General features: G+C 36.1%; 1 protein-coding gene across 1 annotated transcript; it reads right to left on the bottom strand.

The window, feature by feature from the left end:
• Positions 1 to 6,203: 6,203 nt before the first annotated feature.
• On the bottom strand, positions 6,204 to 11,914 carry OR1C1 (olfactory receptor family 1 subfamily C member 1). Its single transcript, NM_012353.3, has 2 exons — positions 11,770 to 11,914; positions 6,204 to 9,777 (listed from the first exon to the last, which is right to left on the bottom strand). The coding sequence occupies exon 2, from the start codon at positions 9,762 to 9,764 to the stop codon at positions 8,820 to 8,822; it is 945 nt and encodes a 314-aa protein (NP_036485.2). The 5' UTR covers positions 9,765 to 9,777; positions 11,770 to 11,914; the 3' UTR covers positions 6,204 to 8,819.
• Positions 11,915 to 13,309: the final 1,395 nt, after the last annotated feature.

Here is a 13,309-nt window from a genome sequence, read left to right on the forward strand (position 1 = left end):
TTGTAGCGGACTGCAAGAGCTTTCAGAAAAGCATCAGAGTAAAACAGACTATCTGTGGATGACAAAAGACTTAAAATGATTGTGATTTAAGAGCTAGTGAGAGGTCATTTAATGAGAAAATTCGGTTATTCCATGGCATAAAACATTTTAAATAGTAACTGGAATTATGACTGATCACATTATACCAGGACATATTATGGGGCAGCCAAAAATGACAAAATTCTATATACTTCATAAAATTTATGAAAAATTTATATGAAGAATATTTTCCTATTTACCTATACAAATACAGTCTAGGGAAGGTCACATTTTTTTCTTATGTGACAATACTTTTTATGCACTTGAGCATATCAAACAGACCTAATTTTTTTTAATCTCTATTTTTATGAAGTCAAAGAAGAAATCCTTTGAGATTTTCCAGAGCCCTATGGGAAATTTCAAAGTCAGTTCAAGTTTAAGATTACATTTATGATTTAATTTTCGGAAGGCAAAATATCAAAAAATTTGAATACTTAATTAAATGGAATCACAGATCAATGTGAAACAATACTTAGTTATCCATTTAGCCAAAGTGACAATAAAATATTTCAAAAGTGAATATGGAGTGGAGTGATGTTAGCAAGGTGGCCCTCATCTCCTCACATAGGCATCAATTTGAACAACTACCTACACATAAAATTACCTTCACGACAAGTAAAAATTATGTCACGTGGGTTTAGCACAGAAATAATAAAAGACTTACTGAATAGGATAGGAAGGACAGCTTGACATTCCTTACATCACCCCTACATCAAGCCCAGGCAGCACAGTGTGGAGGGAGATACCCTCTGTATGAAGGAAGGAAAGTGAAGTGAACATCCAACTTTGCAATCAGTACCAGCACCAGGCCCTTGAATAAACTCTAGTGCCAGGTCAGCCCCCTTGGCTTCATGCTTCAGACTATATCTGTGGACTAAGCCTTGAAGCCCGTCCAATTGGTACGTCAACTCCCACAGCTCAGACCAGCCCCTGTAGACTCAGCCTCCAGACCTGCCCTACCACCAGACCAGCTTCCATGGCACTAGACTACAGGCCAACTCCACAGACTAGGCTTCGGCCATCTTTAGCACTGGGCTAGCACCTGCAGATCCCAGCTCCAGGCTTGGCTCTGTGGATATAGGCTCCAGACCTACGCAGTTCCAGGACAACCATTGTAGCCCCAGGTACCAGGCTGGCCTCTGTGGCAATAGGGTCTAGGCCAACCACACAGACAAAGCCACTAGGCCAGCATCTGAGACCTTGTTTCCAGGCTGACTCTCATGGACTATGGTCTAGGCTAGCCCCTCATGGCCACAAGCAACAGGCCAGCACACATGGACCCAGATCCTAGACCTCTGTGGACTAAGGCCCCAGGCTTGCCCCAGTGCCATGCTTAACCCAGACCCTGGGGTGGTCCCCATGGCCCTAGGTTCAGAGGACTCAAGACCAGGCCCACCCCTGCAGACCTAGGCTATGAGCCTATAAGCCTATCCCTGTAGACGCAGCCTCCAGGCCTGTCCCAGTACCAGGATGACTCCTGTGTACTCAGGCTCTAGGCCTATATGAACCCAGGCACCAGGCCCATCCTAGCACCAGGCTAGCCCTCACAGACTCAGTCTCAAAGCTCATCCCAGCACAAGGTAAGTTCATGTGGACCCAGGATTCAGGTTGGTTCTTATGGACACAGGTACCAGGACCACCACTGAGGACCCAAGCACTAGGTCTTCCCTAATGTATGTAGTCAGAAAGTTCACCCAAGTGGACCTCTGTGCCAGGTCAGTTCCCATGGACCCAGAAACCAGACGCCCAAGTGGACATTAGCCTGAGGTTTTCCCCAGTGGATCTAGGTCCAGGCCAGCTCCTGTAGAACCAATAGCCAGGCCCACTCACCTGCTGACCAAAGCACCAAGCCACCCTGCTCAAGGACTCCAACAGCAAGTCTGCCTATGGATCCAGTCATATAGTTCTCCCAGAATCTCTGGGCAAGCTGATTTGTGAAGGGCTCTTCCTACATATGCCGGTCTGTAAAGATAGAAAAGGTGAAAAACTACTCAAATATGCAGGCATAAAAACGTGGCCACAGAGGTCGTAAAGAATCGGGGAAACATGAGAGCACCAAAGGAAAAAAAGGACCGGTAACCAACCCTAAAGAAATAGGATATACAAACTTTCTAACTAATAATTAAAAGTAATCTTTTTAAAGTAGCTCAGTGAGTGACAGAAAAATACAAATAAACAACTAAACAATATCAGGAAAACAATAAAAGATGAGAAATTTGACAACGAGATGGAAATCATAAAAAAAATGTTGGAGATAAAGAACATAATGTCTGAACTGAAAAATTCCATCAAGAACTTCAGCATCAAACTCAATCAAGCAGAAGAAAGAATCAATGAGTTCAAAGACAGTTCACTTGAGATTACCCAATCATTGGAATGAAAAGCAAAAAGAATAAACCATGGAAATTCTGGGACACTATCAAGAAAACTAATGCACACATTATGGAAACTGCAGAAGAGTTAGAAAAACGGAAATAATGTTTAAAGAAATAATGACAGAAAATAATATTTAAAGAAATAATGACAGAAAACTTACGAGATCTAGAGAGGACAATGAACATACAGATCCATGAAGCATAAAGAACCCCTAATAGATGAATAAAAAGTCATCTGTACACTGAACTATAAAACACTGAAGGAAATTGAGAAGAAACAAATAAATGGAAAGATATCTCATGTTCATGGGTTTTAAAAATTAATACTGTTAAAATGTGCATAGCGCCGAAAGCATTTATGTATTCAGTGCATTTCTTACCATAATTCCAATGTTGTTTTTCATAGAAATAGGAAAAAATCCAAAAACTTGTATGGAACCACAAAAGACTGCAAATAGCCAAAGCAATCTTGAGCAAATAAATAAATAATAAAAGAAGAAAACAAACAACAAAAAAATGAAAACAAACCTGCCAAAGCTGCAGGTATCATGCTACCTGATCTAAAAATATAATACAGATATATTTGACCATTTTAAAATAAGATTGTTTGTTATTTTGCTATTTGAGGTGATTGCATTCCTTGTATACTCTGGATATTAATTATCTTTCAGATAAATGGTTTGTAAATATTTTCTCTTTTTCTGTAGGCTGTCTTTTCACTCTTTTGTTTCCTTTGTTTTGCACAAGCTTTTTTAGTTTGATGTGATCCCATTTGTTTATTTTTGCTTTTGTTGCCTGTGCTTTTGAGATCTTATTGATAAAGTGATTTCACAGACCAACTCTTGAAGTATTTTGCCTATTTTGTCTTTTAGAAGTTTTATTGTTTCTGGTCTTATATTTAAGTCTTTAATCCATTTTGAATTTTGTAAAGGGAAAGAGGTGGGGATCTAGTTTCATTCACCTGCATATGGATATTCAGTTTTCCCAGCACCATTTACTGAAGAGACTGGCCTTTCCCCAGTAAGTGCTCTTGGTGCCTTTGTCAAAAACCAGTTGACTGTAGATACATGAATGAATTTATGGGTTTTTGTATTCTGTTTTATTTGTCTATGTTTCTATTTTTATGCCAGTACCATGCTGTTTGGTAACTATAGTATTATATTGTTTTTAACTTTTAGGTTCAGGAGTACATGTGTAGATTTGTTATATAGGTAAATTGCGTGTCGTGGGGGTTTGGTGTACAGATTATTTTGCTACTCAGGTAATAGGCATAGTACTCAATTTGTGAAGGGCTTTTCCTACACAAATTTCCTACACCTAGTTTTTTGATTCTCATGTTCCTTCCCCTACCCTCAGGTAGGCCCTTGTATCTGCTGTTCTGTATTTTGAAGTTTGGTAGTGTGATGCCTCCAGCTTTATTTTTGCCCAGGATTGCATGAGCTATTTGGGGCCTTTTGTGATTCTATGCAAATTTTAAGATTTTTCTTTCTATTTCTGTGAAGAATGTCATTGGTATTTTGCTAGAGATTGCATTGAATCTGTAGATTACCTTGGGTAGTATGGCAATCTTAAATTAACATGGAATGAATTTAAATAATCTTTCCATTTGTGTGTGTCCTCTTCAATTTCTTTTATCAGAATTTACTAGGGTTCCTTGTAGAGATCCTTCACCTCCTTGGATAAATTTATTCCTATTTCCTATATTTCCTGTATTTTAATAAATATATATTTATATATTTATTTTAATAATAAAATAAAATAAAATCTTTTTAAATTAATGCCATAATTTTATTAAAAATAATTTATAAAAATAACAAATTCGTGACATGAGAAGCATTGTTGTACAACTTTGCAAATTTCTTTAATGTCTGGCTTGACAGAATGCAGTGAATCTCAGATATAATTCATTTATTCTGTTGTAATTGTTTTAGTTGAAATATGTAATACAAATGCACAATTAGAAAAGGTTAAAGGAGCACCTTCACTGCACATTAGAATAGTTCATACTATACAAATTGATCTCTTACAAAACAGTTGCAGTTTGCAATCTGAAACCATTAGCATTCTTTTTTTTAAATTTTATTATTATTATACTTTAAGTTTTAGGGTACATGTGCACAATGTGCAGGTTTGTTACATATATATACATGTGCTATGTTGGTGTACTGCACCCATTAACTCGTCATTTAACAGGTATATCACCTAATGCTATCCCTCCCCCTCCCCCCACCCCACAACAGTCCCTGGTGTGTGATGTTCCCCTTCCTGTGTCCAAGTGTTCTCATTGTTCAGTTCCCACCTATGACTGAGAACATGCGGTGTTTGGTTTTTTGTCCTTGCGATACTTTGCTGAGAATGATGGTTTCCAGCTTCATCCATGTCCCTACAAAGGACATGAACTCATCATTTTTTATGGCTGCATAGTATTCCATGGTGTATATGTGCCACATTTTCTTAATCCAGCCTATAGTTGTTGGACATTTGGGTTGGTTCCAAGTCTTTGCTATTGTGAATAATGCTGCAATAAACATACGTGTGCATGTGTCTTTATAGCAACATGATTTATAATCCTTTGGGTATATACCCAGTAATGGGATGGCTGGGTCAAATGGTATTTCTAGTTCTAGATCCCTGAGGAATCGCCACACTGACTTCCACAATGGTTGAACTAGTTTACAGTGCCACCAACAGTGTAAAAGTGTTCCTATTTCTCCACATCCTCTCCAGCACCTGTTGTCTCCTGACTTTTTAATGATTGCCATTCTAACTGGTGTGAGTTGGTATCTCATTGTGGTTTTGATTTGCATTTCTCTGATGGCCAGTGATGATGAGCATTTTTTCATATGTTTTTTTGGCTGCATAAATGTCTTCTTTTGAGAAGTGTCTGTTCATATCCTTTGCCCACTTTTTGATGGGGTTGTTTGTTTTTTTCTTGTAAATTTGTTTGAGTTCATTGTAGATTCTGACAAAAACAAGCAACGGGGAAAGGATTCCCTATTTAATAAATTGTGCTGGGAAAACTGGCTAGCCATATGTAGAAAGCTGAAACTGGATCCCTTCCTTACACCTTATACAAAAATTAATTCAAGATGGATTAAAGACTTAAATGTTAGACCTAAAACCATAAAAACCCTAGAAGAAAAACCTAGGCAATACCATTCAGAACATAGGCATGGGCAAGGACTTCATGTCTAAAACACCAAAAGCAATGGCAACAAAAGCCAAAATTGACAAATGGGATCTAATTAAACTAAAGAGCTTCTGCACAGCAAAAGAAACTACCATCAGAGTGAATAGGCAACCTACAGAATGGGAGAAAATTTTTGCAACCTACTCATCTGACAAAGGGCTAATATCCAGAATATACCGTTAGCATTCTTAATGAATCACTCACTATTGCATGATTTTGTAACATCATGTATTGGTCATCTAGCAAATACTGGCTCACAGAATGATGCAGACCTTCTTAATATACTTCATTATACAATGACAAAGTCAATTATGTGTATTAACAACACTTCTAATCTCATCAGAAAGATCTATAATTATTGAGAAAACATCAAGCTCATGTGAATAACACAAGTTTCCAAAATTCAAATTTTGATTTGAAACTCAAATTTTATTATGAGCAACTCATATATACATATCTATATTTAATAATATATAGTTGCAAATACCTGGAAGGATAATATTTAATGTTCTCAACATAAACAAGTAATAAGTGTTTGAGATGATGGATATGTCAATTACCTTGATCTGATACCTGTACATTATATTTATCAAAACATCCCTGTGTACTCCATAAGTGTGTATGATTATTTTATGCCAATTAAATTTTAAAATGCAATAAAAAGATACAGTAATCAAAAATGGCATGGTACTGGCATAAAAATAGACACATAGAAATAAATTGATACATTCATGGTCAATTGATCTTTGACAAAGGTGGTAGGGACACACAATATGGAATGGACCATCTCTTCAATAAGTGGTTTTAGAACAACTGAATATCCATATGGAGATGAATGGAATTGGACCCTTATCTGACACCATATACAAAAATCAACACAAAATATATTAAACACATAAACAGAAGACCAGAAACTATAAAACTAATAGAAGAAAGCACAGGGGGAAAGCTCTATGACATTGGTATGCATGATAATCTTTTAGATATGACTCCCACAATTGACAAAACTAAAATTAACAAGCGCTAGTAAATTAAACTAAAAGTCTTTTACAGCAAAGGTAACAACCAACAGAATGAAGAGATGACCTACAAAATGGGAGAAAATATTTGCAAATCATACATCTGATAAGGAGTTAATATTCAAAGTATATAAGGAGTTCAAATAACTCAGTAGCAAAAAACTGCCAAATAACACAATTTTTAAAAAGAGCAAAGTACTTGAATAGACATTTCTCACAAGAAGACATTCAAATTGCCAACAGATATGAAAAAATGCTCAAAATCGTTATTCATAAGGGAAATGCCAATTAAAACCACCGTGAGATGCACCTCACACTTGTCTGAGTGGCTATGAAAAAAGTCAAAAGATAAAAAAGTTTGATGAGGGTATGGAGGAAAAAGAATCTTTCTTCACTATCGGTGGGAATGTAGATTAGTATAGCCCTTATGGAAAACAGTATGACGTTTACTCAAAAAATTAAAAATAGAACTACTGTACGATCCAGCAATCACTATTGGGTATACATCCAAGAGAAATGAAATCAGTATGTCAATATAATATTGGATGTCATGGGGTAGTAGGCTGCCCAACCTGAAACTGGCCTGGGGGATATTTGAAAGCCTAACATGGATGGTCTCTAAACCCTAGCAGTGTCCTGCACCGAAACTTCTAAGCTTAAACAGTTTTCTACACCTACACTCTAGTGAAGGATTGAATTCACTTTTGTGACATAATCTTTTAACTACAGACACGTCTTACCCATTTTTATTGGGTAAAACTGAAGTTACAATTTACTTCACCAATGCTTTTATTTATTTATTTATATTCTGAGAATCTACATTTTTAAACTGTTATTTTAGATTCAGGGGTACATGTGCAGATTTGCACAGGTAAATTGCATGTCACAGGAGTTTGGTATACATATTATTTCATCACCTATGTAATAAACATAGCTCCTAATAGGTATTTTTTAAACCCTATTTGGTATTATAAATTAGGTATACATGTTAGAAGAGCTAAAATATCTATATCAACATTGTTGCTTTTTTGAAGAAACTTTTTTTCCCTGAATGGATTTAAATTTTCTTATGTATGTATGTATTTGGTCTTCCTTGAGAAAGGGTGCACGTGTGTGTTTATAAGGTTTTAAATATTATACATGTGTTCGTTCAAGAAATTACAGAGGTCTGTGAGCAGACATTTTAATTCTAGAAAAGGACAAGCAGAAATGATCTTAGTTCATTCTCAGATGTAAAATTGTAGAAAGGAACCGGAATAGGTTGAATAAACAATTAGATTGGATTGGATGGTTAATATCTTAAATGGAGTCTATTTAATTGAATGACCTCAAATATAATTATTTTTGCATACAGTATGTTAATTTTTTGTTAGGAAAGCAAGATAAAATAAAACCCAAGGGATTGGGCATGAGGCTTTGTTTTGAAAGAAGTTAATGTATTCCCCATATGAAAAATGCAGCTGAGAACCTGATCTCTTCTCTAAAGATATTGTATACCCAAAGCACTCCTAGTTGTTGGGGGAGATCAGTTAGCCTCTGCCCTATAAAGATGGCTGGGAGATTCTGAGTTCCTCCATGCCTGAGATCAGTTAGGGACACACATGACAAGGACATGTGTCAATAGAATAAAATCATTGACTGTATTTGAAGTGAGAGGGGATTGGAGGAAAGCATACATACTTTAAAACTTGAATAAATTATTTTAGTGATTTTTAAGAAGACTCACTATTTAAAATGTGTTCTACCACATTGTCGAATTAACATTAGAATTTATGCCCCTTTAATTCTAAATCTGAACTCACAGACAAGAAGTTTAGGAAAATTTATCTTAATATGTAGCATTTGGGAACTATATCACAGAGATTCTCATCACTAAGGTATATTTGTACTGGAGTCAGAAACTATTTATCAGCTATGGGTTGTATGCAGACTATTTAACTTCCCTAAGATTCACTTTCTGTATAAAGAATGCTATATGGTTTTTATATATTTACTCAGAGGATTTAATGTGATAATTCATATAAAGTGCTTAACACGATTTCCAGCATAAGGGAGACATTTAATAGCAGTTGGTTTCTCTTCTCACTGTTATTGTGAGCATCTAGTCACACTTTCTTATCACCACATTAGTATTATTTAATTCAGTCACTGAGGTCATTATTGCTGCTGAAAGACTGTGCACTTGAGAAGCATTTTCTGAAGTCCCCTCTTCATATCCCTGTTCCTTAGGGTATAGATGAAAGGATTCAGCATCGGAGCCACCATTGAATACATGATGGTTGACAGAGTGTCGCTCTCAGGCATATGGGGGGATGAAGGGCTGAAATAGACGGCGATGGCTGTGCCGTAAAACAACACCACCACTGACAGGTGGCAGCTGCAGGTGGAAACAGCTCTCTGCTTGCCCTGAGTAGAGGTGATCTTCAGAACAGTGGAGAAGATAAGTCCATAAGATACGAGGATACAGACAAGGGGCGTGAGAGCCAATAGACCTCCTACTGCAAAAATGATCATTACATTGAAGGAGACGTCAGAGCAAGAGAGCTGCAGGAGAGGATTGAGATCACAGAAGAAATGATGGATGATATTGGAGGCACAGAAGGACAGCTGTGCTATTAGGACAGTATGCAGGAGGGCGTGGAGGTAAGTAACAAGCCACAGTCCAGCCACTAGCTGGACACAAAGGCACAGGTTCATTCTGGCGGTGTAATGTAAGGGGTGGCAAATCGCCACATATCTATCATACGCCATCACACACAGAAGGAGGCTGTCCATATTCACAAAAGAAACGAAGAAGAAGAGCTGGGTGAGGCAGCCTGCAAAAGAGATAGTCTTGGTGCCAGTCAAGATATTCACTACCATTTGGGGGACTGTAGTCGACGTAAAGCAGATGTCAACAAAGGCCAAGTTACTAAGGAAGAAGTACATAGGGGAATGGAGGTGAGAGTCAAAGCCAATCGTCGCAATGATGAGCATGTTCCCCAAGGTGGTGGCTAAATACATACAGAGAAAGAGCACAGACAGGAGGTGCTGCTGCTCTGCTGAGCTAGGAAGTCCCAGAAGGACGAATTCCCTGACAACTGTTAGATTTCTTTTTTCCATATTCCCAACAAATCTAGAAAAATAAGTTATTAAATTGTAAAAGCCAGCAGTGTTAAGTCTCTTATTCATGAGAGAGAGACAGTGTGTGTGTGTGTGTGTGTGTGTGTGTGTGCATGCGTGCGCAGGTAAGTAGCATCCAAACTTGCTTGCTTGAATGCTTTCCAATGACATCTTGTGTTCATGATATTCTGTCTTCATAGTCACATAGACATGCTGGACATGTCAGTATCAACTTCTTTCAAGACTGACTTCTTCCCCCAAAAGAAAATGCAAATTATGTGAATAATAACCATTTTAATTGGGTTATTTTGCCTTGCCTACAGTAACCACAAAATTCATATCGACTTTATATATAAGGTTATTTGTTATTTTTTTAGTAGTCAAGCTATTTATGCTTACCCAGTAGAAATATTTACCTCTAATAAATAATTTTCCTCCCAATCTGATGCTTATACTTATGATGGAAGATATCCTCATGTTAGCTTTCTTTTCTTTTAACGTATTTGGTCACTGATAACTGCAAGCTCACCTCTGTTCCTTGGGTTGACCATTGCTGTTTTGGTCTCTGCTCATCATTTGGTGGAGCCTCTGACTTGTGTAGTAAGTCATTGAGAGCCCAGTGTTTGTGGCCTGTGCTTTCAGGACCCTTCCTTGTAGCATCTTGGTCATACTACCTTCTCTAGAAGGTGCCAGTATTCTCCCATACCTATCAACATTTTTCATAGAGTGTCTTACTTCTTGACGTCCCTCACTGTACTCTCCAACTTCTCACTTCTGTATCAATCCAATTTATACCTTCTTTTTAATTATAAAAATTATCAAATTATACAAAGTGTTGTATAACAATAAGCAAGCAAACATACATCATTCATGTAATCCGTACTTTCCTTCAGCAAACATTTATTGAGCAATTTCTATGATCCAGGTGCTGTGCACAATTTAGGACCAAAGTTTTTTTCTGACTGAAGCAAAATTTGTGATACCTTCCCAAACGTTCTCCTTGACATCTGAGGCCTTTCTAGTCTTTTCAAACCTATATTATTTCAGTTATGTTATTTAAGCCATATGGCTATCAAGTAAAGGACATGTTGTAGAAGTGGGAAGAGATTTGGAATTTTTAGTCCAAGTATCATTATTTTCTCACAATATTCCAAGAGTTATCTAGGACTTCTATTTTATTGATTTGTATGACAAGGATCCTAATGAAAATAACATAATGTAGCACTAGATAATATACATGTTCTGGTTTTATGCTAAGACAGCTGATTAACCCTAGAGAACACAATGCAGTGTATTTGTTTCTATTACAATGTTTTGAATTCCAACTTAATCAGAAACCTCACTAACACTAATTATTACATTCATCTTCCTCTGATTCCTGTCAACTTTAATTAAGTTCCATGCACCCCCTTTTACCCAACTTGAAGCATGTCAGGATAAAATCTGTACGGAAAAGAAACTATGCATGTATTTGCATGCCTTTGAGGGAGAAGCACTCTTTCAAAGACAGTCTCCTTCCCCTGTAGGCACTATCAGTTACATCATTTTTATTAATCTCATACTCACTATACAATATTCCTTTCATGACAAGCATAACAATTCCCCTTTTTCTTGGTCTACTTCATTGTAGTTAGTGAAATTTTAAGGAAAGAATTGCGATTTATTATATTGAATCCTTAGGATATAACACATATATGCACGTAGTTTGCACAGAGTTGGTGCAAAAGAGTGCTTATGGAAACAACAAATGAATGAAAAATTCTGGAGAAATCATTTGATTATATAATGAATATATGAGTTTTGCAAGATATCTTTTAATTCTATATTCTCATTTGCAGCACATCATCTTAATTTCAAAATTTTCTCAACTAGGATTTGGAAAAAGTTAGTCCACCATTGAAATGCTTAACAGCTTCGTCAAAAAACTTCCATGCATTACAACTCAAAGGATTATACATTAGGTATGTCTTCACTAAAACAAAGAAAAAAATGTATGAATACATACCCTTTTCTGAGACCTTTGCCACCTATGACTTTTCTCTTTCCTGAATATCCAATCACAAAAGCATAGATGGACCTATGCATTGATTCAGATTTCTAGTCAAGAGTGAAAAAGAGAAGAATGAGATATAGACAAGTGTGTTTCTTTCGACAGAGAATAACAGTATCTCACGGGGTGAGTATTTGGTTAGATTCATTTATTTTGATAATACAAAGGGGGGCAGGCCTTTAACATGGCACAGTTTTGTCCCTTGAGATCAGCACCCAAGAGGCTTCATGAAGTTCTAAATTTAGCTTCTAATGACTTTAGTTTATAAATTGGTTTTTCTCTTATTTTGAAGAGAAGGCAAACACAGGGGGAAATATTGTATGCGGGAAGAAAGCATGAAAGCTCATGAAGGTTCCAAGATACATTCTTGTTTTCTTTACAGGGTGCTTGGGTGAATGAATGATACAAAAAGATGGGAAACTGAAGCCACAATTTTACAAACCTATCTATTCCATCTCCATAAAACTTGCAGCTTATCCTGTCTCCCTAGTGCTAAAGAGAGATACAGTGATATAAACAACCACTTTTGGAGTAAGACACATTTTGGTTCAAATCTTCATTTGTAAATTAATTAATAGTTGCTTGACCTTGCACAAGGTATTATATTTTGTATGTTTTAGTTTTTCATCTATAAAAATACAAATACTACTTATCTCATTTAGTTGCTATAAAAACTATAATATTTATATAAAAACCTTGAATTGTGCATAGACCCAGAGGTTATCCTGAAGCTTCTGATCATCTAATGAATTAATGGCTGGGATAATCAAATATGTGCCAATAAAAATGAAAACCAAAAGAGAGTGTGTTTGGAAATGAGATTTTTCACTGTACATTAGATAAAGATTATGTGTGCGGGTGGTTGCAGATATATACATAGATAAATAGTTTTAACTCATACCATGAGCTACACCGTTACTCCACAGTATATAACTTAGTCTGAAGACTACAGCTAAACCAACCAGTATTCAAAACATTTGAAACACAGGCCCATTTATCTGAATCCAAAGATGCATTTATTCTTCTTTATTGAAATCAATATTTTATTAAACACATAGTTTTTGGTTTAATGTATTTAGGTAAATATAAGAACAGACTACAATGACAAACATTCAAATAACCTTAATGTATACTATACGTGTGTATATATATATGTATACTATACATGTGTGTGTATATATATGTATACAGACACACACACATATATATAGTGAAAGGTATACGTTGTATATTATATACATAAACAATTTGTGTATGTCTGTATAAGTGTACATATATATTTACAAACACATTTATACATTTTTTTCTAATATGGGGAAGACCTCTATATTATCAATTGAAAGGAGATTTATTTACATTTATGTTTAGTGATAATGTATGTCTCAGAGTTCATACAATGTGGATAACTTAATAGCTTTTGTAAATTCTTTTAGAACATAAGTATTAAGCATTAGACTCTTGCAGAAGATCCATGAGCTACTGAAAACACTTTGGA

Source organism: Homo sapiens, chromosome 1 (genome assembly GCF_000001405.40).
Source record: "Homo sapiens chromosome 1, GRCh38.p14 Primary Assembly".
NCBI classification, from domain to species: domain Eukaryota; kingdom Metazoa; phylum Chordata; class Mammalia; order Primates; family Hominidae; genus Homo; species Homo sapiens.

What these genes read in the sequence shown, in the direction of transcription:
- OR1C1 (NM_012353.3), bottom strand. Translation starts at nt 9,764, where the DNA reads ATGGAAAAAAGAAATCTAACAGTTGTCAGGGAATTCGTCCTTCTGGGA.